The sequence below is a fragment of the Homo sapiens genome, chromosome 14 (assembly GCF_000001405.40).
Source record: "Homo sapiens chromosome 14, GRCh38.p14 Primary Assembly".
Classification (NCBI taxonomy): Eukaryota; Metazoa; Chordata; class Mammalia; order Primates; family Hominidae; genus Homo; species Homo sapiens.
The window spans coordinates 19,006,960-19,033,922 of NC_000014.9; the positions used below are offsets into that span (position 1 = coordinate 19,006,960).

The 26,963-nt window shown below is 44.5% G+C and overlaps 1 pseudogene, besides 1 other annotated feature; it reads right to left on the reverse strand.

Moving 5' to 3' along the window:
- Nucleotides 895-1,395: an enhancer, noted in NCBI's record as "H3K4me1 hESC enhancer chr14:19979352-19979852 (GRCh37/hg19 assembly coordinates)". NCBI's record gives its function as "activates a minimal SCP1, AML or CMV promoter by ChIP-STARR-seq in naive H9 embryonic stem cells {active_cell/tissue: H9 hESC(naive)}" and the evidence as "EXISTENCE:reporter gene assay evidence [ECO:0000049][PMID:30033119]".
- GRAMD4P4 (GRAM domain containing 4 pseudogene 4) lies at nucleotides 19,562-21,230 on the reverse strand (annotated as a pseudogene).

Here is a 26,963-nt window from a genome sequence, read left to right on the forward strand (position 1 = left end):
TGGCAGAGTTGACTGGTTGCTCTTTGAGCCAGCTTGGCCTTGCTCGGCCTGCACAAGCCTCAGTGCAACAACTGTGCTATGAATGGAGCCACAGAGAGGAAACAAGCAGCAAGATCAGGAGCAGGGTGTACGCTGCCTTTCAGGCTCCAGTCCATGACTCAGGGGTCATATGGCACTGCAGGCTTCTTGGTTGCCAAGAGGCAGACCACAGGCCGTCTTGAGGAGGACTTTACATTCAAGTGCAGAAAGCAGCCAAGATTACCGTCCGGGGGACTCGGCCTTCTGTGGCCCTGGCCAGACTGAGAATTTGTGCCAAGGCAGGACAAGCTCACTCGGAGCAGCGTGCCAGTCGCTGGGGCCTATGCATGCTAGGCAAGGCCAAGCTGGCTCAAAGAGCAACCAGCCACCTGTTCAAGGGTGCGCCTAGAGCAGGCAGAGCATCCACCACCTCACCCACTGAAGGAAGTGGGGATGGCCAGCTTCCCACAGCTTGATTGGCTGCCACCTAATTGCTGATGGAGCAGAGGCCTTAGGAAAAGCAGATGGCACTGTGGCCCTACCTTTAGGGTAGAAGAAGTGAAGCACATGTCTGGCTGCTAGTTGGTGACTGGTGCACCTGCTCAAGGCACACCCTTGCAGAGGCGGCTGGTTGCTCTTTGAGGCAGCTTGGCCTTGGCCGGCATGCCCAAGCTTCAGTGCAACAACTGTGCTACAAATGGCGCCATATAAAAACGAGCAGCAGGCTCAGGAGCAGGGTGTGCACTGCCTTTGGGGCTCCAGTCCATGCCTCAGGCGTCATATGGCACTGTGGGCTTCTTGGTTGCCAAGAGGCAGACCACAGGCTGTCTAGAGGAGGACTTTATGTTCAAGTGTAGAAAGCAGCCAGGATTGCCACCCAGGGCACTCGGCCTTCTGTGGCCCTGTCCAGACTTAGAATTTGTTCCAAGGCAGGACAAACTCACTTGGACCAGCGTGTTAGTACCTGGGGCCTGTGCATGGCAGGCAAGGCCAAGCTGGCTCAAAGAGCCACCAGCCACCTGTGCAAGGGTGTGCCTGGACCAGTTGGACCAGCCACCAAGCTCACCCACTCAAGGAAGCAGGGATGGCGAGATTACAACAGCCTGAGTGGCTGCCACCTGATGGCTGATGGAGCAGAGGCCTGAGGTAAATCAGATGGCACGTTTAACTCTTTAATGGATCTTAAGTTAATATTTCTATAAAGCACATGGCACCAGTCCATGCCTCAGAGTTCGTACGGCACTGCGGACCACAGCAGGCCGAGTCCCCTGGGTGGCAATCCTGCCTGCTTTCTGCACTTGAACATAAAGTCCTCCTCAAGACGGCCTGTGGTCTGCCTCTTGGCCCTACATTTAGGGTAGAGGAAAGGATGTACCATGTCTGGCAGGGAGTGAGGTTGGTGGCTGGTCCGCCTTCTCCTGGCCCAGCCTTGCAGAGGTGGCTGGTTGCTCTTTGAGCCAGCCTGGCTTTGCCTGGCGTGCACACAGCTCAGTGCAACTACTCTGCTACAAATGTAGCCACAGAGAGGAAACGAGCAGCAGGCTCAGGAGCAGGTTGTGCATTGCCTTTGGGGCTCTAGTCCATGCCTCAGGGGTCGTGTAGCACTGCGGGCTTCTTGGTTGCCTAGAGGCAGACCACAGGCCGTCTTGAGGAGGACTTTATGTTCAGGTGCAGAACGCAGCCAGGATTACCATCCAGGGGGGCCTTCTGTAGCCCTGGCCAGACCTTGCAGAGGTGGCTGGTTGCTCTTTGAGCGAGCTCGGCCTCCCTGGCATGCACAGGCCCCAGGTACTAACACGCTGCTCTGAGTGAGCTTGTCCTGCCTTGGCTGCCACCTAACTGCTGATGGAGCAGTGGCCTTAGGAAAAGCAGATGGTGCTGTAGCCCACCTTTAGGGTAGAAGAAGTGATGTACCATGTCCGGCCGCTAGATGGTGACTGGTGCACCTGCTCCAGGCATACCCTTGCAGAGGTGGGTGGTTGCTCTTTGAGCCAGCTTGGCCTTGCCCGGCATGCACAAGCTTCAGTGCAACAACTGTCCTACAAATGGAGCCACAGAGAGGAAACAAGCAGCAAGCTCAGGAGCAGGGTGTGCACTGCCTTTGGGGCTCCAGTCCATGCCTCGGGTCGTATGGTACTGCAGGCTTCTTGGTTGCCAAGAGGCGGACCACAGGCCTTCTTGAGGAGGACTTTACGTTCAAGTGCAGAAAGCAGCCAAAATTACCATCCATGGGACTGAGCCTTCTGTGGCCCTGGCGAGACTTAAAATTTGTGCCAAGGCAGGACAAGCTCACTCGGAGCAGCGTGTCAGTAGCTGGGGCCTATGCATGCCAGGCAAGGCCAAGCTGGCTCAAAGAGCAACCAGCCACCTCTGCAAGGGTGCGCCTAGTGCAGGCAGAGCATCCACCACCTCACCCGCTCGAGGAAGTGGGGATGGCCAGGTTCCCACAGCCTGAGTGTCTGCCACCTTATTGCTGATGGAGCAGAGGCCTTAAGAAAAGCAGATGGCACTGTGGCCCTACCTTTAGGGTGGAAGAAGTGATGTACATGTCCGGACGCTAATTGGTGACTGGTACACCGGCTCCTGCTACACCTTTGCAGAGGTGGCTGGTTGCTCTTTGAGCCAGCTTGTCCTTGCCCAGCATGCACAAGTTTCAGTGCAACAACTTTGCCACAAATGGAGCCATATAGAGGAAAGAAAAAGCAGGTTCAGGAGAAGGGTGTACCCTGCCTTTGGGGCTCCAGTCCATGCCTCAGGTGTCACATGGCACTGCAGGCTTCTTGGTTGCCAAGAGGCAGACCACAGGCCATCTTGGGGAGGACTTTATATACAAGTGCAGAAAGCAGCCAGGATTACCATCCAGGGGGACCTTCTATAGCCCTGGCCAGACCTTGCAGAGGTGTCTGGTTGCTCTTTGAGCCAGCTTGGCCTCCCTGGCATGCACAGGCCCCAGGTACTAACACACTGCTCCGAGTGTGCTTGTCCTGCCTTGGCTGCCACCTAATTCCTGATGGAGCAGTGGCCTTAGGAAAAGCAGATGGCACTGTGGCCCACCTTTAGGGTAGAAGTGATGTACCATGTCTGGCCGTTAGTTGGTGACTGGTACACCTGCTCCTGGCACACCCTTGCAGAGGTGGCTGGTTGCTCTTTGAGCCAGCTTGGCCTTGCCCAGCATGCACAAGCTTCAGTGCAACAACTGTGCTACAAATGGAGCCACAGAGAGGAAACAAGCAGCAGGCTCAGAAACCAGGTGTGCGCTGCCTTTGGGGCTCCAGTCCATGCCTCAGGGGTCGTATGGCACTGCAGGCTTCTTGGTTGCCAAGAGGAAGACCACAGGCCGTCTTGATGAGGACTTTACGTTCAAGTACAGAAAGCAGCCAGGATTACCATCCAGGGGACTCGGCCTTCTGTGGCCCTGGCCAGACATAGAATTTGTGCCAAGGCAGGACAAGCTCACTCGGAGCAGCGTGTCAGTCGCTGGGGCCTATGCATGCCAGGCAAGGCCGAGCTGGCTCAAAGAGCAACCAGCCACCTCTGCAAGGGTGCGCCTAGAGCAGGCAGAGCATCCAGCACCTCAGCCACACAAGGAAGTGGGGATGGCCAGCTTCCCACAGCTTGATTGGCTGCCACCTAATTGCTGATGGAACAGAGGCTTTAGGAAAAGCAGATGGCACTGTGGCCCTACCTTTAGGGTAGAAGAAGTGATGTACATGTCCGGCTGCTAGTTGGTAGCTCGTGCCCTTGCTCCTGGCACACCCTTGCAGAGGTGACTGGTTGCTTTTTGAGCCAGCTTGGCCTTGGCCAGCATGCCCAAGCTTCAGTGCAACAACTGTGCTACAAATGGAGCCATATAGAAACGAGCAGCAGGCTCAGGAGCAGGGTGTGCACTGCCTTTGGGGCTCCAGTCCATGCCTCGGGTCGTACGGTACTGCAGGCTTCTTGGTTGCCAAGAGGCGGACCACAGGCCTTCTTGAGGAGGACTTTACGTTCAAGTGCAGAAAGCAGCCAAAATTACCATCCATGGGACTAAGCCTTCTGTGGCCCTGGCGAGACTTAAAATTTGTGCCAAGGCAGGACAAGCTCACTCGGAGCAGCGTGTCAGTAGCTGGGGCCTGTGCATGCCAGGCAAGGCCAAGCTGGCTCAAAGAGCAACCAGCCACCTCTGCAAGGGTGCGCCTAGTGCAGGCGGAGCATCCACCACCTCACCCGCTCGAGGAAGTGGGGATGGCCAGGTTCCCACAGCCCGAGTGTCTGCCACCTTATTGCTGATGGAGCAGAGGCCTTAAGAAAAGCAGATGGCACTGTGGCCCTACCTTTAGGGTAGGACGCTAATTGGTGACTGGTACACCGGCTCCTGCTACACCTTTGCAGAGGTGGCTGGTTGCTGTTTGAGCCAGCTTGTCCTTGCCCGGCATGCACAAGTTTCAGTGCAACAACTTTGCCACAAATGGAGCCATATAGAGGAAACAAGAAGCAGGTTCAGGAGAAGGGTGTACCCTGCCTTTGGGGCTCCAGTCCATGCCTCAGGTGTCACATGGCACTGCGGGCTTCTTGGTTGCCAAGAGGCAGACCACAGGCCATCTTGGGGAGGACTTTATATTCAAGTGCAGAAAGCAGCCAGGATTACCATCCAGGGGGACCTTCTATAGCCCTGGCCAGACCTTGCAGAGGTGTCTGGTTGCTCTTTGAGCCAGCTTGGCCTCCCTGGCATGCACAGGCCCCAGGTGCTAACACACTGCTCCGAGTGTGCTTGTCCTGCCATGACTGCCACCTAATTCCTGATGGAGCAGAGGCCTTAGGAAAAGCAGATGGCACTGTGGCCCACCTTTAGGGTAGAAGTGATGTACCATGTCTGGCCATTAGTTGGTGACTGGTGCACCTGCTCCTGGCACACCCTTGCAGAGGTGGCTGGTTGCTCTTTGAGCCCGCTTGGCCTTGTCCAGCATGCACAAGCTTCAGTGCAACAACTGTGCTACAAATGGAGCCACAGAGAGGAAACAAGCAGCAGGCTCAGGAACCAGGTGTGCGCTGCCTTTGGGGCTCCAGTCCATGCCTCAGGGGTCGTATGGCACTGCAGGCTTCTTGGTTGCCAAGAGGCAGACCACAGGCCGTCTTGATGAGGACTTTACGTTCAAGTACAGAAAGCAGCCAGGATTACCATCCAGGGGACTCGGCCTTCTGTGGCCCTGGCCAGACATAGAATTTGTGCCAAGGCAGGACAAGCTCACTCGGAGCAGCGTGTCAGTCGCTGGGGCCTATGCATGCCAGGCAAGGCCGAGCTGGCTCAAAGAGCAACCAGCCACCTCTGCAAGGGTGCGCCTAGAGCAGGCAGAGCATCCAGCACCTCAGCCACACAAGGAAGTGGGGATGGCCAGCTTCCCACAGCTTGATTGGCTGCCACCTAATTGCTGATGGAACAGAGGCCTTAGGAAAAGCAGATGGCACTGTGGCCCTACCTTTAGGGTAGAAGAAGTGATGTACATGTCCGGCTGCTAGTTGGTAGCTCGTGCCCTTGCTCCTGGCACACCCTTGCAGAGGTGACTGGTTGCTTTTTGAGCCAGCTTGGCCTTGGCCGGCATGCCCAAGCTTCAGTGCAATAACTGTGCTACAAATGGAGCCATATAGAAACGAGCAGCAGGCTCAGGAGCAGGGTGTGCACTGCCTTTGGGGCTCCAGTCCATGCCTCAGGCATCGTATGTCACTGTGGGCTTCTTGGTTGCCACGAGGCAGATCACAGGTCCTCTTGAGGAGGACTTTACGTTCAGGTGTAGAAAGCAGCCAGGATTGCCACCCAGGGCACTCGGCCTTCTGTGGCCCTGGCCAGACTTAGAATTTGTGCCAAGGCAGGACAAACTCACTGGGAGCAGCGTGTTATTTCCTGAGGCGTGCGCATGCCAGGGAAGCCCAAGCTGGCTCAAAGAGCCACCAGCCACCTGTGCAAGGGTGGGCCTGGACCAGTTGGACCAGCCACCAAGCTCACCTACTCAAGGAAGCAGGGATGGCCAGGTTGCAACAGCCTGAGTGGCTGCCACCTGATAGCTGATGGAGCAGAGGCCTGAGGAAAATCAGATGGCACATTTAGCTCTTTAATGGATCTTAAGTTAATTTTTCTATAAAGCACATGGCACCAGTCCATGCCTCAGAGCTCGTATGGCACTGCGGACCACAGCAGGCCGAGTTCCCAGGGTGGCAATCCTGGCTGCTTTCTGCACTTGAACATAAAGTCCTCCTCAAGATGGCCTGTGGTCTGCCTCTTGGACCTACCTTTAGAGTAGAAGAACGGATGTACCATGTCCTGAAGCAAGTGAGGTTGGTGACTGGTCCACCTTCTCCTGGCCCAGCCTTGCAGAGGTGGCTGGTTGCTCTTTGAGCCAGCTTGGCCTTGCCCAGCATGCGCAAAGCTCAGTGCAACTACTCTGCTACAAATGTAGCCACAGAGAGGAAACGAGCAGCAGGCTCAGGAGCAGGTTGTGCATTGCCTTTGGGGCTCTAGTCCATGCCTCAAGGGTCGGGTAGCACTGCGGGCTTCTTGGTTGCCTAGAGGCAGACCACAGGCCATCTTGAGGAGGACTTTATGTTCAAGTGCAGAAAGCAGCCAGGATTACCATCCAGGGGGGCCTTCTGTAGCCCTGGCCAGACCTTGCAGAGGTGGCTGGGTGCTCTTTGAGCGAGCTCGGCCTCCCTGGCATGCACAGGCCCCAGGTACTAACACGCTGCTCTGAGTGAGCTTGTCCTGCCTTGGCTGCCACCTAACTGCTGATGGAGCAGCGGCCTTAGGAAAAGCAAATGGCGCTGTAGCCCAACTTTAGGGTAGAAGAAGATGTACCATGTCCGGCCGCTAGTTGGTGACTGGTGCACCTGCTCCTGGCATACCCTTGCAGAGGTGGGTGGTTGCTCTTTGAGCCAGCTTGGCCTTGCCTGGCATGCACAAGCCTCAGTGCAACAACTGTCCTACAAATGGAGACACAGAGAGGAAACAAGCAGCAGGCTCAGGAGCAGGGTGTGCGCTGCCTTTGGGGCTCCAGTCCATGCCTCGGGTCGTATGGTACTGCAGGCTTCTTGGTTGCCAAGAGGCGGACCACAGGCCTTCTTGAGGAGGACTTTACGTTCAAGTGCAGAAAGCAGCCAAAATTACCATCCATGGGACTAAGCCTTCTGTGGCCCTGGCGAGACTTAAAATTTGTGCCAAGGCAGGACAAGCTCACTCGGAGCAGCGTGTCAGTAGCTGGGGCCTATGCATGCCAGGCAAGGCCAAGCTGGCTCAAAGAGCAACCAGCCACCTCTGCAAGGGTGCGCCTAGTGCAGGCGGAGCATCCACCACCTCACCCGCTCGAGGAAGTGGGGATGGCCAGGTTCCCACAGCCTGAGTGTCTGCCACCTTATTGCTGATGGAGCAGAGGCCTTAAGAAAAGCAGATGGCACTGTGGCCCTACCTTTAGGGTGGAAGAAGTGATGTACATGTCCGGACGCTAATTGGTGACTGGTACACCGGCTCCTGCTACACCTTTGCAGAGGTGGCTGGTTGCTGTTTGAGCCAGCTTGTCCTTGCCCGGCATGCACAAGCTTCAGTGCAACAACTTTGCCACAAATGGAGCCATATAGAGGAAACAAGAAGCAGGTTCAGGAGAAGGGTGTACCCTGCCTTTGGGGCTCCAGTCCATGCCTCAGGTGTCACATGGCACTGCGGGCTTCTTGGTTGCCAAGAGGCAGACCACAGGCCATCTTGGGGAGGACTTTATATTCAAGTGCAGAAAGCAGCCAGGATTACCATCCAGGGGGACCTTCTATAGCCCTGGCCAAACCTTGCAGAGGTGTCTGGTTGCTCTTTGAGCCAGCTTGGCCTCCCTGGCATGCACAGGCCCCAGGTACTAACACACTGCTCCGAGTGTGCTTGTCCTGCCTTGGCTGCCACCTAATTCCTGATGGAGCAGTGGCCTTAGGAAAAGCAGATGGCACTGTGGCCCAACTCTAGGGTTGAAGAACTGATGTACCATCTCCGACCTGTAGTTGGTAACTGGTGCACCTGCTCTTCCTTGCAGAGGTGGCTGGTTGCTCTTTGAGCCAGCTTGGCCTTGCCGGGCATGTACAAGCTTCAGTGCAACAACTGTGCTACAAATGGAGCCACAGAGAGGAAACAAGCAGCAGGCTCAGGAGCAGGGTATGCGCTGCCTTCGGCTCTCCAATCCATGCCTCAGGGCTCCTATGCCACTGCACGATTCTTGGTTGCCAAGAGGCCAACCACAGGCCATCTTGAGAAGGAGTTTATGTTCCACTGCAGAAAGCAGCCAGGATCACCATCCAGGGGACTTGGTCTTCTGTGGCCCTGGCCAGACATAGAATTTGTGCCAAGGCAGGACAAGCTCACTCAGAGCAGCGTGTTAGTACCTCAAATCTGTGCATGCCAGACAAGGCCAAACTGGCTCAATGAGCAACCAGCCACCTCTGCAGGGGTGCGTCTGGAGGAGGTGGACCAGCCACCAACCTTACCCAGTCAAGGAAGTGGATGGCCATGTTCCCACAGCCTGAGTGGCTGCCACCTGATGGCTGATGGAGCAAAGGCCTTAGGAAAAGCAGGTGGCCCTTGGCCCTACCTTCTTGTTAGAAGAACTGATGTTCCATGTCCTGCAGCGAGTGAGGTTGGTGGCTGTGCCCCCAGCTCCTGGCACACCCTCGCAGAGGTGACTGGTTGCTCTTTGAGCCCTCTTAGCCTTGCCCAGCATGCACAAGCCTCAGTGCTACTACTGTGCTACAAATGGAGCCATATAGGGGAAACGAGCAGCCATCTCAGGAGCAAGGTGTATGCTGCCTTTGGGGGCTCCAGTCCTTGCCTCAAGGGTCTTATGTCACTGTGGGCTTCTTGGTTGCCAAGAGGCAGACCATAGGCTGTCTTGAGAAGGACTTTATGTTCAAGTGCAGAAAGCAGCCAGGATTACCACCCTCGGGACTCTGCCTTCTGTGGCCCTGGCCAAACTTAGAATTTGGCCGTAGACAGGACAAGCTCACTTGGAGTAGCGTGTCTGTAGCTGGGGTCTGTGCATGCCAGGCAAGGCCAAGCTGGCTCAAAGAGCAACCAGCCACCTCTGCAAGGGTGCACCTAGAGCAGGTGGAGCAGCCACCAGCTCACCCACTCCAGGAAGCCGGGGTAGCCAGGTTCCCAAAGCCTGAGTGGGTGCCACCTAATGGCTGAAGAAACAGAGGCCTTAGGAAAACCAGATGGCACTGTGGCCCTACCTTTATGGTAGAAGAGCTGATTTAGCCTGACTGGCAGCGTGTGAGGTTGATGGCTGGTCTGCCTGCTGCTGGCACATCCGTGCAAAGATAGCTGGTTGCCCTTTGAGCCAGCTTGCCCTTGCCCAGCATGCACAAGCCTCAGTGCAACAACTGTGCTACAAATGGGGCCATATAGAGGAAAGGAGCAGCTGGCTCTGGAGCATGGTGTGCACTCCCTTTGGGCCTTCAGTCCATGTCTCATGGGTCGTATGACACTGCGGGCGTGTTGGTTGCCAAGAGGCAGACCACAGGTCATCTTGAGGAGGACTTTATGTTCCAGTCCAGAAAGCAGCCAGTGGTACCACCCAGGGGACTTGTGCTTCTGTGGCCCAGGCCAGACGTAGAATTTGACAAAGTCAGGACAGTCTCAGTCAGAGCAGCATGTCGGTCCCTGGGGCCTGTGCATGCCAGGCAAGGCCAAGCTGGCTTAAAGAGCAAGCAGCCACCTCTGTTAAGGGTGTGCCTGGAGCAGGTGGAGCAGCCACCAACCTCACCCACTGAAAGAAGCAGGGATGGCCAGGTTCCAACATCCTGAGTGGCTGCCACCTGATGGCTGATGGAGCAGAGGCCTGAGGAAAAGCAGATGGCACTGCTTTGTAGTGCTGTTCTTTGTCTCTCTTGATCTTTTTCAGTTAATGTCTGTTTTATCAGAGACTAGGATTGCAAACCCTGCTCTTTTTTGCTTTCCATTTGCTTGGTAAATATTCCTCCATCCCTTTATTTTAAGCCTATGTGTGTCTTTGCACATGAGATGGGTCTCCTGAATACAGGACAACAATGGGTCTTTACTCTTTATCCAACTTGCCAGTCTGTGTCTTTTAACTGGGGCATTTAGCCCATTTACATTTAAATTTAGTATTGTTACATGTGAAATTTATCCTGTCATGATGTTGCTAGCTTTTTATTTTTCCCATTAGTTTGCAGTTTCTTTATAGTGTCAATGGTCTTTACAATTTGATATGTTTTTGTAGTGGCTGGTACTGGTTTTTCCTTTCTACGTTTAGTGTCTCCTTCAGGAGCTCTTGTAACACAAGAATGTGGATTTATTTCTTGTAAGGTAAATATGTGGATTTATTTCTTGGGACTGTATTCTATGGCCTTTACCCCAAGAATCATTACTTTTTAAAATGCAATTCAAATTAGCATAAAACATTTACAGCCTATGGAAAGGCTTGTGGCATTAGAATCCTTATTTATAGGATTATTTTGTGTTTTTTTGAGATATGGTCTTTGTCATCGAGGCAGAAGTGCCGTGGTTTGATCATAATTCACCACAGCCCTGAACTCTTGAGTCCAAGCCATCCTTTTGCCTTAATCTCCCAACCAGTTGGATCTACAAGCATAAGGCATCATGCGTGGCTAATTTTTTCACGTTTTTTTTTTTTTTTTTTTTTTTTTTTGTCGAGATTATGGTATCACTATGTTGCTCTGGCTGATCTCAAATGTTTGACCTCAAGGGATCTTTCTGCCACAGTCTCCTAAAGTGCTAGGATTATATGCATGATACACCATGCCTATTGTAGAGTATTACATTATTTTCAAAGTCTTATTGTAAGAGCCATTTATTGCCTTTGGCCTAAATAACTCAATATAATATCTCTGAAACTTTTTTTTGACAAGTTTTGGGGCATGATGATGAGAGAAGGGGGTTTGAAACTTTCTAATAAGAGTTAACTTAGAGCCATTTAAGAAAGGAAAAAACACAAATTATCAGAAAAACAACAGTAAGATCAAGTGCAAAAGTTCTGTGGCAAAGATGATGAGAGTAAAGAATATATGTTTGTGACTCATGGTGGCTTTTACTTTGTTCTTGAATTTCTGAGTACGGGTTAACATTTAAAGAATCTACATTATAGATAACATTTTATTGCAAGTAAATGTATTTCAAAATTTGTTATTGGTTTTGTATGCGATTATTCTCAGCCTACTTCATTATCAAGCTATATTATTTTATTAATGTAGTTCGATGATCTTACAGCAAAGCTGAAAGCTGTATCTTCAAAATATGTCTATTTGACTAAAAAGTTATTCAACAGGAGTTATTATCTATAAAAAAATACAACAGGAATATAAAAAACTTGAAGAGGATAAAAAGATGTTGGAAAAAGTAATATTAAATCTTAAAAAACATATGGAAACTACACAATGGTGAAGACACATTGGTGAAGTACAAAAATATAAATTGGATCTAGAAGAAAGGGCAATGCAGGCAATAGAAAAATTAGTAGAAATCCCTTTAAAGGTTAGTTTGTAAAATCAGGTAAGTTTATTTATAATTTGCTTTCATTTATTTCACTGCAAATTATATTTTGGATATGTATATATATTGTGCTTCCTCTGCCTGTCTTACAGCAATTTGCCTTGCAGAGTTCTAGGAAAAAGGTGGCATGTGTTTTTACTTTCAAATATTTAAATTTCCATCATTATAACAAAATCAATTTTTCAGAGTAATGATTCTCACTGTGGAGTCATTTGATTATTAAGACCCGTTGGCATAAGATTACATCCTCTGACTATAAAAATCCTGGAAGAAAACCTAGGAAATATTCGTCTGGACATTGCACTTGGCAATGAATTTATGGGTAAGTCCTCAAAAGCAATTGCCAGAAAAACGAAAATTGAGAAGTGTGATTTAATTAAACTAAAGAGCTGCTTCTGCACAGCATGAGAAACTCTCAAGGGGGATTGAACAGACAGCCTACAGAGTGGAAGAAAATATTCACACACTATGCATACAGCAAAGGCCTATTATCCAGAATCTATAAGAGACTTAGACAAATCAAGAAGCAAAAAATAACCCCATTAAAAAATGGGCAAAGAACATGAACAGACAGTTTTCAAAAGAACACATACGTGGCCAACAAACATATTAACACATGCATACCATCACTAATCATTAGAGAATGCAAAGCAAAACATCAATTAGATACCATCTCACACCAGTTAGAATGACTTCTGTTACAAAGTAAAAATAATAAAAATATTTAAATATTCAATAATAAAATGTTATTTAGGTTGAGATAAATTAATTTGTCATTATTCTCAAAACGTGGATATTCAAGAATAACCTTACTTCACATGTAATAACACAACAACTACCTTAAAAAATAAAAGCTGGGGCCTAGCACAGTGTCTCAAGTCTGTAATCCCAGCACTTTGGGAAGCTGAGGTGGGCCGATCACGAGGTCAGGAGTTTGAAACAAGCCAGGCCAACGTGGTGAAACCCCATGTCCACTAAAAATACAAAAATTAACTAGGCATGGTGGTGGGCACCTGTAATCCCAGCTATCTGGGAGGCTGAGGCAGGAGAATCATTGGAACCTGGGAGGTGGAGGTTGCAGTGAGCTGAGATCAGGTCATTGCACTCCAGCCTGGGCAACAGGGTGAGACTCCATCTCAAAAATAAATAAATAAATAAATAAATAAAATTAAATGAAGAAAAACAAAAGCTGGAAGTTGTATGAAAATATTAATGCACATACCATCTTTTGAAAATGTTCATTGTTTCTCTAGAGATTTCAATACCTATTCTAGCTTATTATAGTAACCTATAATTTGTATTATACCAACTATGGTATAAAAACCTTAAAATGTATATTTTTGTTTTCTCTCTCCTTTATACTATTTATGTCATGCATTATAGTCTCAAATATTATGAATTCCATAATATAAAGTTACTCTTTTTTTAAAAAAATAAGACAATTATCTTTAGAGCAATGTAAAATAATTGGGCTATATATCTTTATATCTTCTCTGGCACTCTTTATTTCTTTGTGTAGTTTCAACTTTCATCTGCTTCCATATTCCTTTTGCCTCAAGAAATGATTTTGACATTTATTTTAGTGCAGACCTGTTAGCAAGGGACTCTTGCAGTGTTAATCTGAAAATGTCTTCATTTCATTGTTATTTTCACTATATAGTTAATGGATGTAAGATTGGGGGTTGACTTTTTTTAAGTTATTTAAAAATTTTGTATCATTGGTTTCTGACTTGTAGAGTTGCTGACACGCAGTTCACTGTAATGGCTATTTCTGTTTATCTCTCTACACAGTGTTCCTATTTTTCTGTGACTGAATTCAAGATTTTTGCTAATCGTTGGTTTTCAGCAGTTTGACTAGTGTGATTATTCTAGCGTTCTTTAAATTTTGTATTTATCTTTCTTGGATCTTTTTGAGTTTATTTGGTCTCCTTAGTCATCTTTTTCAAATTTTTCTTCCCTTACATTCTGTTTTTACTCTCCTGGAATTCCAATTAATTGTATTTTACTTAATTTCATGTTACCAGAGAATTCTTGGATTCACTGGAGTATTTTATTTGCTTGGCTCATTGGTTTATTTTGTTTTTCTCTTTCCTCCCTTTGTGCTACCATTCAAATAATTTGTATTGACCTAGCATAAAATTTACTGCTTCTTTCTTTAGCTCTGATGACCAGTCTGCTAATCAGCTTGCTGTTGTAATTCTTCATTTCTGTTCTCATGCTTTCACTTATTTCTAGCTTTTGCCTTTTACTGTTCCCATCTCTGCTGAAATTCCTCATTTTTCCATACATGTTGTCTTTTTTTAAGTAGATTCTTTAACATTTTGATCATTATTATTTTAAATTAGTTGCATTTAGTTCCAACATCTGAATTATCTCTGAATTTGATTCTGTTGACTTTTTATCTTTTGAAAATATTATAACTCATAACCCAAATTTCTAACTTGGTTTTATGTGTCTCCCAGTTTCTAAAAAATGCAAATCATCAGATGTAGAAAATCAGTAGATCATGAGATAATTGTTTATGTTGAGATTGTTTTATATTTATGTTTCATTTTGGTTTGTGTCATGCTATTAGTGTGGGCAGGAACAAAGGTTGGTTTTTGCCACGGTGTCTGAAACATTCAGTGAACCACGTAACTCAGATTTCTCCAGCAGCAGGCTGCTATATCATGTGCCTTGTGTGGGGCCTTAGGCTCTGGAGGGCATATTCCAGTGCTCCTGTTCCAGTTATCTTTCCATAGTCCTTACCACATATGTCATAGGAGGGTCTCTCTCCACTTTCTTGTTCCTCTCTAACTGTAGAACATCATTTTGTGTGTGTGTGTGTGTGTGTGTGTGTGTGTGTGTGTGTGTGACTAGGCAGAAAATTCAGGTTGGGGGCAGAGGGATGATTCATGTTATTTTTGAGCCAGTTTCATCATTGGACACTCAGAGAAGGGGTATTTTTAGCACTTCCTGACTCTTATTCTAGTGGGAATCAAACTGTCTCATATCTGTGTTGTTTTTTGAGGAAGAAATGATACCTTGCCCTCCTCCCACCTCAGTGGTAGAAAACCTTTGATTTATATCATTGCAAGTTTTCAACCCCACACTAAGGACATACTATTTTATTTCTTCTTCCATAGGAACAATGCACCTTTGTCTGTGTCACTGGATGGAGATTTTCCAACCCTTTACCACAGTAGCACAACTCTGCATTAGTGCAAAATCCTGGGCCCCAAAACAATCCTTGTTCCTCTCCTGATGGAGAAGTATTTTTCTTGCATCCCTCCCCCAGAAGCAGTGATCCTTTGCCTGGTCTCAGGTGGGATAGGGTAGGCTATGAGAGGTTTCTTAACCTTCTCGGAAAGCTGATGTGTTTTGCTGCTTCTTATCTCCCAGAAACAGTAGACTTTTGCGTGGGTTCATGGACCCAGATGCTTTTTTGCCACAGAAAACGAAGGGTTTTGATTCTTAGGAGAGAAGCAAATGTTCATGTAGTCAATTTTTTTCTTATTTATTTTTTGCTTTGTTTTATTATTTCAGTAGTGATGAGTATGATCATTATTTTCCACTTATGCCACTTGCAACTCTAATATTTTGTTTTTATTAGCCCCCCTTTGACAGTTCAGCACTAAATCAAATGCAGATGATCATCAGTTGTGTGAATAAAGTGTTTTTATTGAGAACAAAATTGTTGATATAGACACAAATTAGGATATTATCCTACTTAGCACAATATGTCACTGGCTCAAAATGTAAAATCCTCTTTAGGCTGAACAAAGAATGGTTCTTAAAACTATTGTCCCTTTTTGACAAATAAAAAAAATCCCAATGCTTTTTATCTCATGGATAGATTATTAAAATAATTACATACCTGATCTTCATTTTATGTTCTCTCTCTTCAAGATATTTCCTTCAAAACTACTTTGACTGATTAGTCTCTTTTGAATTACGTTAGACTTTGTATTTTCTCCACAAGCTCATCAGGGTAAATCCTGCCTTTACATTTTTTATAAAAATTCTCTTTTTTTTTTTTCAAATCTTAGTTGAGCTGAAAGATTTCCACCAAATGTCTCCTATGCCACAAAGCCTTATTTTACTTATCTGCCCATCCTCCTTGCTCAAGCTCATTTAGGAATATTTTTATTAAAACATTAATGCAATACTGTTTTTTAAAAAATCTGAACATACAGTATTTTCAATTTGAACACAAAATAGTGCTCTAACTTGAAAACAAGTTTTAGAAACAAATGTTTCTAGAAGGAGGATCAACAGTGTCATAAGTATCATAATCCAATTCTCCTGTTTGTACTAAAACATTAGCAAATATTTATTGAGAAATTGCTGTCTGCCTGAAAGTATAATGCTTTTGATACACATTATATCATATAAACTATGTACTATTATTAGTAGTATCTTAAGAGTAAAAATATCGAGTCTTAGAGATGTTAAGCAATGTGCTCAAATAGCATAGGGAAAGTTGGAATTCTGAAATTCCGACTATGCCTTAGGTATGATAGGAGAATCAATGTTTGTCAAATGTAAGTGTCAAGTCATTGTGGGGATTCAGATGCCTCTGATTGCTAGGGTCAGTACACTTAAGCAGATCATGTCACTACTTAGTTAAATCTATTTCATTAAAGCAAAATTCCACAAAGATTATTGGCACCAAAACCATTATTTTTCTTCCTCCCTTCCTTCTTTCCTTCTTTGCTTCCTTCCTTCCTTCCTCGCTCTCTCACCTGCCTGCCTTTCTTTCTTTCTTTCTTTCTTTCTTTCTTTCTTTCTTTCTCTTTCTTTTTCTTTCTTTTTCTTTCTCTTTCTTTCCTTTTCTTTCTTTCTTTCTTTCTTTTTCCTTCCTTTCTTTCTCTTCCTTCCTTCCTTCCTTCCTTCCTTCCTTCCTTCCTTCCTTCTTTCGAGACAGGGTCTCAGTCTGTTACCCAAGCTGGAGTACAGTGGCACAATCATGGCTTACTGCAGCCCCAGCTTCCCCAGGCTCAGGTGATCCTCCCGTCTCATCCTCCTGAGTAGCTGGGACTACAGGCAAGCCACTATGCCTGGCTAATTTTTTTTTTTTTTTTGGTAAAGATTGGGTTTCACCATGTTGCCGAGCCTGGTCTGCAACTCCTCAGCTCAAGCAATCCACTTGCCTTTGCCTCCCAAACTATTGGGATTCCAGGTGTAAGCCTCACGCCTGGACAAAAATATTATTTAACAAGTTCAATTTAAGTATTAGATTTTGGACAATGAGGGATAGAATTTTCTACATCATAATTCATCTTGTGTTCTTTATTTAAAGTAATACATAAGGATTTCAATTCAATTCAAATATATTTATTAGCAAATTAAATGGCTTTTTCAGGATTCCAAACTTTTGTTGAAGACATAAATGTTAAATGATGTCACTAATTTTAATTAGATTAACAAAAAGGTATTCTGGTGTGTAATAACAGTGACAGAATGGGCTATTAATTTTATTTTCTTCCTCTTTCTCTCTTTCCCCTTTTTAAAATATTTTACTTTTTAGGCGCTTTGGAATCCTGCAGATATAATAATGATAATTAAACAAAACACTCAGAGAAACTGCCAACCCTAGGATGAAGTATATTGTTACTGTGCTTTGGGATTAAAATAAGTAACTACAGTTTATAGAACTTTTATACTGATACACAGACACTAAAAAGGGAAAGGGTTTAGATGAGAAGCTCTGCTGTGCAATCAAGAATCTCAGCCACTCATTTCTGTAGGGGCTGCAGGAGCTCCCTGTAAAGAGAGGTTATGGAGTCTGTAGCTTCAGGTAAGATACTTAAAACCCTTCAGAGTTTCCCCATTTTTTCCCATAGTTTCCCCAAAAAGGTTATGACACTTTATAAGAATGCTTCACTTGTGAAAAACAAATATCAAAGTCTTCTTGTAGATTATATTTAAGGACAAATCTTTATTCCATGTTTAATTTATTTAGCTTCCCCTGTAGCTAATATTTCATGCTGAACACATTTTAAATGCTGTAAATGTAGATAATATAATTTATGTATCATTAATGCCTCTTTAGTAGTTTAGAGAAAACGTCAAAAGAAATGGCCCCAGAATAAGCTTCTTGATTTGTAAAATTCTATGTCATTGGCTCAAATTTGTATAGTATCTCAAAATATAAATATATAGACATCTCAGATAATATATTTGAAATAGCAAATTCCTGTTAGAAAATAATAGTACTTAACTAGATGAGAATAACAGGTCGCCATTATTTGAATTGTCTCCTATTCGTTTTTCATTTGTTGTGTTACTCATGTTTTACTTATGGGGGATATATATAACTTCCGCTGTTTTCAGAATTATTGTATGCAGTCAGTATGAGAATGCAATTTAAGTTTCCTTGATGCTTTTTCACACTTCTATTACTAGAAATAAGAATACAGTAATATTGGCAAAGAAAATTGACCAGTTCAATAAAATTTTTTAGTAAATCTGATTGAAAATAAACATTGCTTATGGCTTTCTTACATCAATATTGTTATGTCCTAGACACCTTATCTGAAATTACGGCTTCAAAATTCTAATTATGTGCAAATGTGTAAAATATCAATACTTTATGTTCAAGCTGGGGCCTCTTCAGGCGTCCTGGGCTGAGAGAGAAAGATGCTAGCTCCGCAAGCCGGGGAGGGAACACCGCCACATTGTTACACGGACACACCGCCACGTGGACACATGACCAGACTCACATGTACAGACACACGGAGACATTACCACATGGAGACACCGTCACACAGTCACACGAACACACTGGCATAGTCACATGGACGACACACAGACATATGGAGAAATCACACTGACACACCACCACACTATCACAGGGACACAGACACACGGAGACATCACCACATGGACACACTGTCACACTACCACAGGGACACGAGACATCACACTGTCACATGGACACACCATCACACACATGAACACACCGACACACTGCCATATGGATACTGCCACACACACTGCCACACTGTCACATGGACACACCTCCATACCGTCACACCACCACACACACTGCCATGTGGACACAAGGACACACAGACACTGTCACACAGATACACAAAACACTGTCACACGGAGACATCACCATGCAGATACACCACCACATGGACATAGCACCAGACACTCTGCCACACAGATACACCACCACACAGAAATGCGGACACACTGCCATACAGACACCACCACATCGTTGCCACACTTTCATGTGTCAGCTGGCGGTGTGGGCCCCACGACTCTGGGCTCTAATCGAGAAATTACTTGGACATATAGTGAAGGCAAAATTTTTTTTTTATTTTCTGAGACGTAGTGTCGCTCTGTTGCCCAGGCTGGAGTGCAGTGGCGTGATCTCCGCTCACTGCAAGCTCTGCCTCCCGGGTTCACGCCACTCTCCCGCCTCAGCCTCCCAAGTAGCTGGGACTACAGGTGCCCGCCAACTTCTTGTGTGTTCTTAGTAGAGACGGGGTTTCACCTTGCTAGCCAGGATGGTCTCGATCTCCTGACCTCGTGATCCGCCCGCCTTGGCCTCCCAAAGTGTTGGGACTACAGGCGTGAGCCAGCGCGCCAGGCCAAGAATTTCTTTCCATCTCCTGTGTCATTGCTTTGGCAGTGGAAACGCACGTGGCCTCTAAAGAGTGGGTCCCAAGGTCATGAAGGCCTGTGGGGTGGAGGACAAGGTCTCTCTTTCCAGGCTGGAATGGCGGAAGATGCGGCGGCAGAGGGGCTGCATGTCCTCCTCACAGCAGGCCCCTGAGGACCTTTATCCTCCTGAGCCATGAATGTCCCTCAGGAGTGTCTAAAGCACCCGGTGGGGCAGGGGGACCCCTATAGGCCTTAGGAGCTCTGGCCAATTAGTGGTCAGTAAAACGCAGAGGTGAACACCATAGAACCACAGGTCCAGGAGAATTTTGTAAAAGCTCTGAGGATGCCCTTTTTTGTTCTCCCACTGCAAAATTGTTTTAAAAAGGAAAAAAATCCAGCAATGTCTGGGGAAAGTCAATACTGAGTGTCAGCGCGGGATGCTGCCGCTGATAAGATCCCGGCGTCCTGGCCGAAAGTGGCCTCGGGGACCGCATCTCCGCGCACCATGGCAGCAAAGGCCAGTGGTTTGTGGGCGGATGGTGTCCCTGTGGCCATCCCCACTCCTGAGTGCGGAAGGACAGGAGTGGGGACTTCTGGGTGTTCCTGGTGTCAGCCAGCTTGACGCCGTTGCTGCTCCTTGAAGTCCGGGATTTGGAGAAGCACCTGGTTCCTGATGGAGGCCGTGGGCCTCTTGGTACCCGCTTACCAGGCAGCGGCGCCAGCCTAGTTCTCAGCCCCGCCCCAGATGGGCGCTGCCTTCCATCACGCCAAAGACTTTCCGAAACTGCCCTTCTTGGGCCTGGGAAGCAGATCCTGGGCTTCCCTGGGGCCTGTGGCGCTGGCAGCAGCTCCACGTTGAGGTCGCCTGCAGCCCGCACTGCGGAGTGCTGGAGGTCCTTGAGCCAGGCATGGGGAGGCCAATCCGCAGGTGCTGGGCGCCCGATGCCGGTCGCAGTCTCAAAAGCGCCTGGAGGTGACATCCAGGAGCACCACCGCGCCGCCCGCAGGGAGACCCATGGCGAGGCGCGCCCCCTAAGGCGGCCAAGGAAAAAGCAGAAGGACAGGAAGGTGCCCCAGAGCTCGATCTCAGGCCGCAAGCACCGACCAAGTTCCTGGTCTCCGGGAGGTCTTTTTTTTTTTTATTTTTTCCATATTTCATTATTATTATTATTATTAACTTTTCCAGATGGATTGAAGACTTAAATGTTAGACCTAAAACCATAAAAACCCTAGAAGAAAACCTAGGCAATACCACTCAGGACATAGGCATGGGCAAGGACTTCATGTCTAAAACACCAAAAGCAATGGCAACAAAAGCCAAAATTGACAAATGGGATCTAATTAAACTAAAGAGCTTCTGCACAGCAAAAAAAAAAAAACTTCCATTAGAGTGAACTGGCAACTTACAGAATGGGAGAAAATTTTTGCAATCTACCCATCTGACAAAGGGCTAATATCCAGAATCTACAAAGAACTTAAACAAATGTACAAGACAAAATCAAACAATCACATCAAAAAGTGGGCGAAGGATATGAACAGACACTTATCAAAAGAAGACATTTATGCAGCCAACAGACACATGAAAAAATGTTCATCATCACTGGTCATCAGAGAAATGCAAATCAAAACCACAATCCGGGAGGTCTTGCCAAAGACCACCTGGGCTTTCCGGGCAACGTGCTAGAGCTTCTGGGAAGCAGTCGTGGCCCTTTGGAGATTCCACGGCTTCGGATCCCTACTGCAGGATGCTCCACTGTGTCTGCCGGCCTCTGGCGTTTTGCTGAGGGGTAACCTCGGAATGGCTAGAAACAAGAACACTGAGATGGCCCAGTCGTGCCCCAGGCATTCCCGCACACGTGGTGGCAAAGAAAGGCGCGCAGACAGAGTGCCCAGTCAGCTTGGTCAGAGTTCTTTACAGGTTAGTGACAGACTTGGTCCCGCGCTTGTGTCCTCCCATGTTTTCAGTTAACCTGCGGACCCCCAGGGGCTCCTCCATCTCCACCGTGTTCTCCTCGGGCTGAAGCCCAAAGTCCCCCATTTTCTCCTCAAACAGCTCTCAGAGCCACTTCTGCAGGCAGGCGGACAGCGCGTGCACTCAGTGTCTGACTTGGGAAGCCACCTCTGAAGGAACTGCTGGGTGACTATGGTCGTAAGTCAATCAAAGCAGACTTTCCCTGGCTTGCTGCGCTACATTGATTTTGTTTTCGTATTTTAAAAGAAGCAGAAGGGAGGTCCTAGGAAATTTGCCCAGTGCAGATGCTGACAAGAGTGGTGACATGAAAAAGATTACCCAGAAGGAAAACAAGAGCTATTTTCTAAACATCTGAAATCTGTGTAGGCTTTTGGAAAAGTGAAACTAGATGCAAAGCACAATGATGTAATTCTGGCAATTTCCACTGACACAGAACTCAGTCAATCTGAATTAATCTAAGGGTTACAAGGAAAATGGCACTCCAAGAAGTACCTATTAACATCACTCAGCTGCTGTGAAATAGGCTTACAGGCAACATGGAGTGTCAATTATCCAGTGTTTAAAGTCAGTGATACAGATTGGACTAACATATCTAAGGCTCATAAAGTCTTCTTTAAAGGATTGACAGATGGTTTATCTGATATGTAGACCATGATTCTCAGCAGTTAACTAGCACAACTTGCTAATATCAATTGCTTGAGAAAATCAGATAATTGCTTGAGAAAATTAGGACATTGCTTTGAGGAAGTTAGGTAATTAAATAAATTACTTTTTTTAAGAATAGTTTAATATTTTGGCAAGTAGACTTTAAAGTAGATTGGTAATATTTTAAAGGCTACTTTTAAAGAAATAGCAATATAACATTTAATTATAAAAATAATGTTGGAAACAATTCAACTTTCTATCACAGATAATTTCACAAATACAGAAATACCATCTCAATAATTAGAAGAAGTAGCAGCAATTTCTGTCATTTTTATGCAAGTTACTCCTAGTCCATTTATTTGGTTTTAAATAGTGTTTTTAAAATTTGTTTTCCAACAGGGCTAATCATAAATAATAGAATATATTTTACAATAGTTGAAGGTAACAAAAAGTAAGTGCCATTTAAAAAATTGTATTAGATTGTTTAAAAATGTTGTGGGTACATAGTATGTGTATGTATCTGTGGGGTCCATGAGATGTTTTGATACAGGCATGCAATGTGAAATAAGCACATCATGGGGAATAGGGTATCCCTCCCCTCAAGCATTTATCCTTCAAGTTATAAAAAATTCAATTACAGTCTTAGTTATTTCAAAATGTACAATTAAATTATTATTGAATATAGTCACCCTATTGTGCTATCAAATAGTAGGTCTTATTAACTCTCTATTTTTATACCCATTAGCCATCCCCACCTTCCCACAACACCCCCTGCCGCTACCTTTCCCAGCCTCTGATAACCATCCTTATACTCTCTGTGTCCATGAGTTTGTTTTGATTTTAGATTCCACAAATTAGTGAGAACATGTGACATTTGTCTTTCTGTGCCTGGTTTATTTCACTTAACATAATGATCCATAATGTTCCATCAATGTTACTGACAATGACTGGATCTTATTCTTTGTTATGGCTGAATAGTCGTCCGTTGTGTATATGTACCACATTTTCTTTATCCATTCATCTGTTGATGGACACTAAGGTTTCTTCCAAATCTTAGCGTTGTAAACAGTGCTGCAACAAATACGGGAGTGCAGATATGTATTTGACATACTGATTTCCTTTATTTTTGGTATACACCCAGCAGTAAGATTGCTAGATCATATGGTAGCTCCACTTTTAGTTTATTGAGAAACATCCAAACTGTTCACCTTAGTGGTTTTACTAATTTGCATTCCCAGGAGCAGTGTACAAGAGTTCCCTTTTCTCTGCATCCCTGCTAGCATTTGTTATTGCCCGTCTTTTGCATACAAGTCATATAAACTGTGGTGAGATGATATCTTGTTGTAGTTTTGATTTAAATTTCTCTGATGATCGGTGATATTGAGCACTTTTCTTATACCTATTTGCCATTTGTAGGTCTTCTTTTGAGAAATACCTATTCAAATCTTTTGCCCCCCTTTTTTTAGCTAGGTTATTAGATTGTTTCCTAAAGAGTTGTTTGAGTTTTCTATATATTCTGATTATTAATCCTTGTCAGATGAGTAGTTTGCAAATATTTTCTCCCATTCTGTGGATTGTCTCTTAACTTTGTTGATTGTATCATTTTCTGTGCAGAAGCTTTTTAACTTAATGTGATCCATTTGTCCATTTTTGCTTTGGTTGCCTGTGCTTGTGGGGTATTGCTCAAGATATTTTTGCCCAGACCAATGTCCTGGAGGTGTTCCCCAAAGTTTTTCTGTACTAGTTTTATAGTTCGAGGTCTTGGCTTTACATCTTTAAACAACTTTGATTTTACTTTTGTATTTGGTGATAGATACTAGTCTGTTTTCATTCTTCTGCATATGGATATCCAGTTTTTTCAATACCATTTCCCACCAGTGTATGTTCTTGGCACCTTTGTCAAAAATGAGTTCACTGTAGGTACATTTGTACATTTGTTACTGGGTTCTCTATTCTGTTCCATTGATCTATGGGTCTATTTTTATGCCAGTACCATACTCTTTTGGTTGCTATAATTCTGTGGTATAATATGAAGTCAGAAAATATAATTCCTCCAGTTTTATTTATTTATTTATTTTTGCTTAGGATAGTATTATTTCTTATAGTGAAAGCATTCTATGTTATTTATTATTAGTCTAATTTTGTAGTTTTACAATGCTATCCTCTTTTACAAAGCTATGATCAACTCAGTGTGTCCAGATCAGGATCATTTGTAGCTATTTGCAAAAGTAGCAATATTCTGGCTGGGCATGGTGGCTCATGCTTATATTCCCAGCACTTTGGGAGGCCAAGACAGGCAGATCACCTGAGGTCAGAGGTTCAAGACCAGCCTGGTCAACATGGTGAAACCCTGTCTCCAATAAAAATACAAAAATTAGCCGGGGATGATGGCAGATGCCTGTAATCCCAGCTACTCAGGAGGCTGAGGCAGGAAACTCACTTGAACCCGGGAGGTGGAGGTTGCAGTGAGCCCAGAATGTGTCATTGCATTCCAGCCTGGGTAACCAAGCGCGACTCTGTCTCAAAAAAGAAAAAAAAAGCAATATACTGTGTAATCGTTGACAGCATAATTCACTATTATGTAGATCGGAGAGCAGAGGATTCTGAATGCATGAACATATCATTAACATTTCAATACATTACTCATAATTACTGATGAACTAAAGAGAAACCAAGAAATCATGGTGATAGTTATATTGACCTGGAGAAATGTAGACACAAAAGAACCGTAAGATGAGAAATGTGTTAACACAGTCTATAAGGGCATGCAAGAATAAAAATAGGGGAGAAAACAGGAGAGTTTTTCAAGAGCTTTCTGGTCATGTAAGTCAACTTGTATCGGTTAATTTTTAAAAGGTTTATTTACATGCAATAAACTGCACATACTTCAATTGTACATTTTGGTAATTCTTGGCATTTGTAGCTCTATAAAACCAGCAACATATTAAAATAGCAAACATATCCATTACCTTTACCACCAAAGTTTTCTTGTGTTTTTTCTACTCACTTTTTCCTGCCTATCCCCCCATCTCTTCCACAGGTAACCACTGATCCACTTCCAGTCACTATCCATGAGTTTTTATTTCCAAATACATGAAATCATATGGTATGTATACTTTCTGATCACTCAGCATCACTATTTTTGAGATTAATTCATGTTGCTACATCTATCAATTGTTCTGTTCTTACTAGGGAGTATTATTTCATTATATACGTATGCCATAGTAAGTTTATAAGTCACAAATTCACCTGCCATGGACATTTGGAATGTTTTCAGGTTTTGGCTGTTGCAAGTAAAGCTGCTATGAAGATTCATGTAAAATCCTCTGAATGGGCATATGCTCTTAGTTTTCATCTCTAATAGAAGTGGAATAGACAGCTATCATGTCTGTAATATGCAAACACAAAGGCTGACAAAACTGATTTTTAAAGTGGAAACTCCACTGGATAACCTTGACTCCAGCCTGGCTTTTGAGAGTATCTCCTATGTTTGTGCAATGATTGGTCCTGGGGTAGCCACATGACCCAAGGAGGACCATGTTTAAACTTCTGAGTTTTCATCGAGATTAACATGCATTTGTTGAAAGAGAAAGCCCTTTTTTTCTAATCCCCCAGCTGCAAATGCTTTCAGGGATCACATCTTGTTGGAACATTTGGTTACAGTGTTTCCTAAACTTCGAGGGTAAAAATTGTTCAAGTAGGTAAAAATGGAGCAAATACAAAGAAAAAAGGAGTCCAGAAACATCAAATAAAAAAGAAAGGGCCTCCATAAAATCATTTGAACTTATGATTAATTCATCAGTCATTAAAACAAGTTTAATGTACAAAGAGTCATCCCCCCAACCACCCTTTATTCCTTCACCAAGTTTAAGTTACATTTTTTTAACTTGCAAACAAAAGATTTGTCATTAACTTAGACATCAAAACTCCTTGTCTCCAAGAGCAGTCATTCAACTCTGTCCCTCTCATTGTTACAATAATATGTTCACTTCATTCTGCATACACCTGCTCTTTGCCCTTGTCTCCCTATTCTATTCTATTAAAGTTACATCCAGACATTTATTTCATTTTGTATCAAAGAAACTGTATACATGTTTTTAATCTTAGAAAAATTTCTGAGTAATTTTTTGTCTCATATTTGATTTTAAGCCACCCAAGAAGCATTATTTTTTCATTTAGTATTTTAACTTTTCTAACCCAGGACTTTTATAGTAGATATTATGTCTTTTTCTAAATGCTCTGCTTCAATTTACATTTTAAATCTAAATTTTAAAAAGTGTACGTTTTCAATATTTGCATCATGTATCTCAGGCCTAAATATCCCTTGATAACCAATCCTGCCTTTTTTTCTCTGCATTTTTCACATATTTCAATAGGGAGCTATATCGCCTGACACAATAAAAGTTTTTGCCAATATAACATAACACATAGGCAAAATTTTGTTTCCAAGTGATTGATGATGTGGTGCCTTCAGTCTAGTCCCAATCCCTCAATGTAATCATCATCCCTATCTAATGAAATATGAAATAAATATTTCACTTTGTTTCTAAAATTCAGCAGACAAATATATAGCCTGTCACATACAGCCTGTAACACCAACATATAAAAATGAAAGCAGTTCCTTCTCCACTCCCACTGCTTCACTTGACTAGCCTTGAAAAATAATAACAATAATAAAAAATGAAAGCAAAATTGTTCCTTTATTTATCTTTGCAATTTAATGGATATACTGTCAGAAAAGCTCTTCTATATATATGGAGGGCCTCTATAAAATATAGACTCTTAACTAGAAAAGTAGACTTACATGATGGTTAAATTAAAAACACAATTATATATAGTACCTTCACAAATGCACCAGTACTTATTTCAGAATGCATGATGTAATTGACTAAACCATTTAGGGCTAGACCTCTGAAATAAAAGGCATTCACACTTTGTGATTCTAAGGGGAAAATATTATTCAAAATAGAAGCATGCAGAACCTTTACCTGATCATGATAAAAAAATTTTCCTACTTGTTGTGAATATGCCACAGCTTTTCAAGGTCAGCAAAAAGAGATTATCCCACAATATAAGCTGATGGCCAAAATTATCTGCCTTACTTTAGTTACCATAATATCTATTAAGTGTAAATTTCTTCTGAAAGAAAACAGATACATTTTTCTCAGAAATGTCTTTAGATGAAGATCTAGCACATCTGTT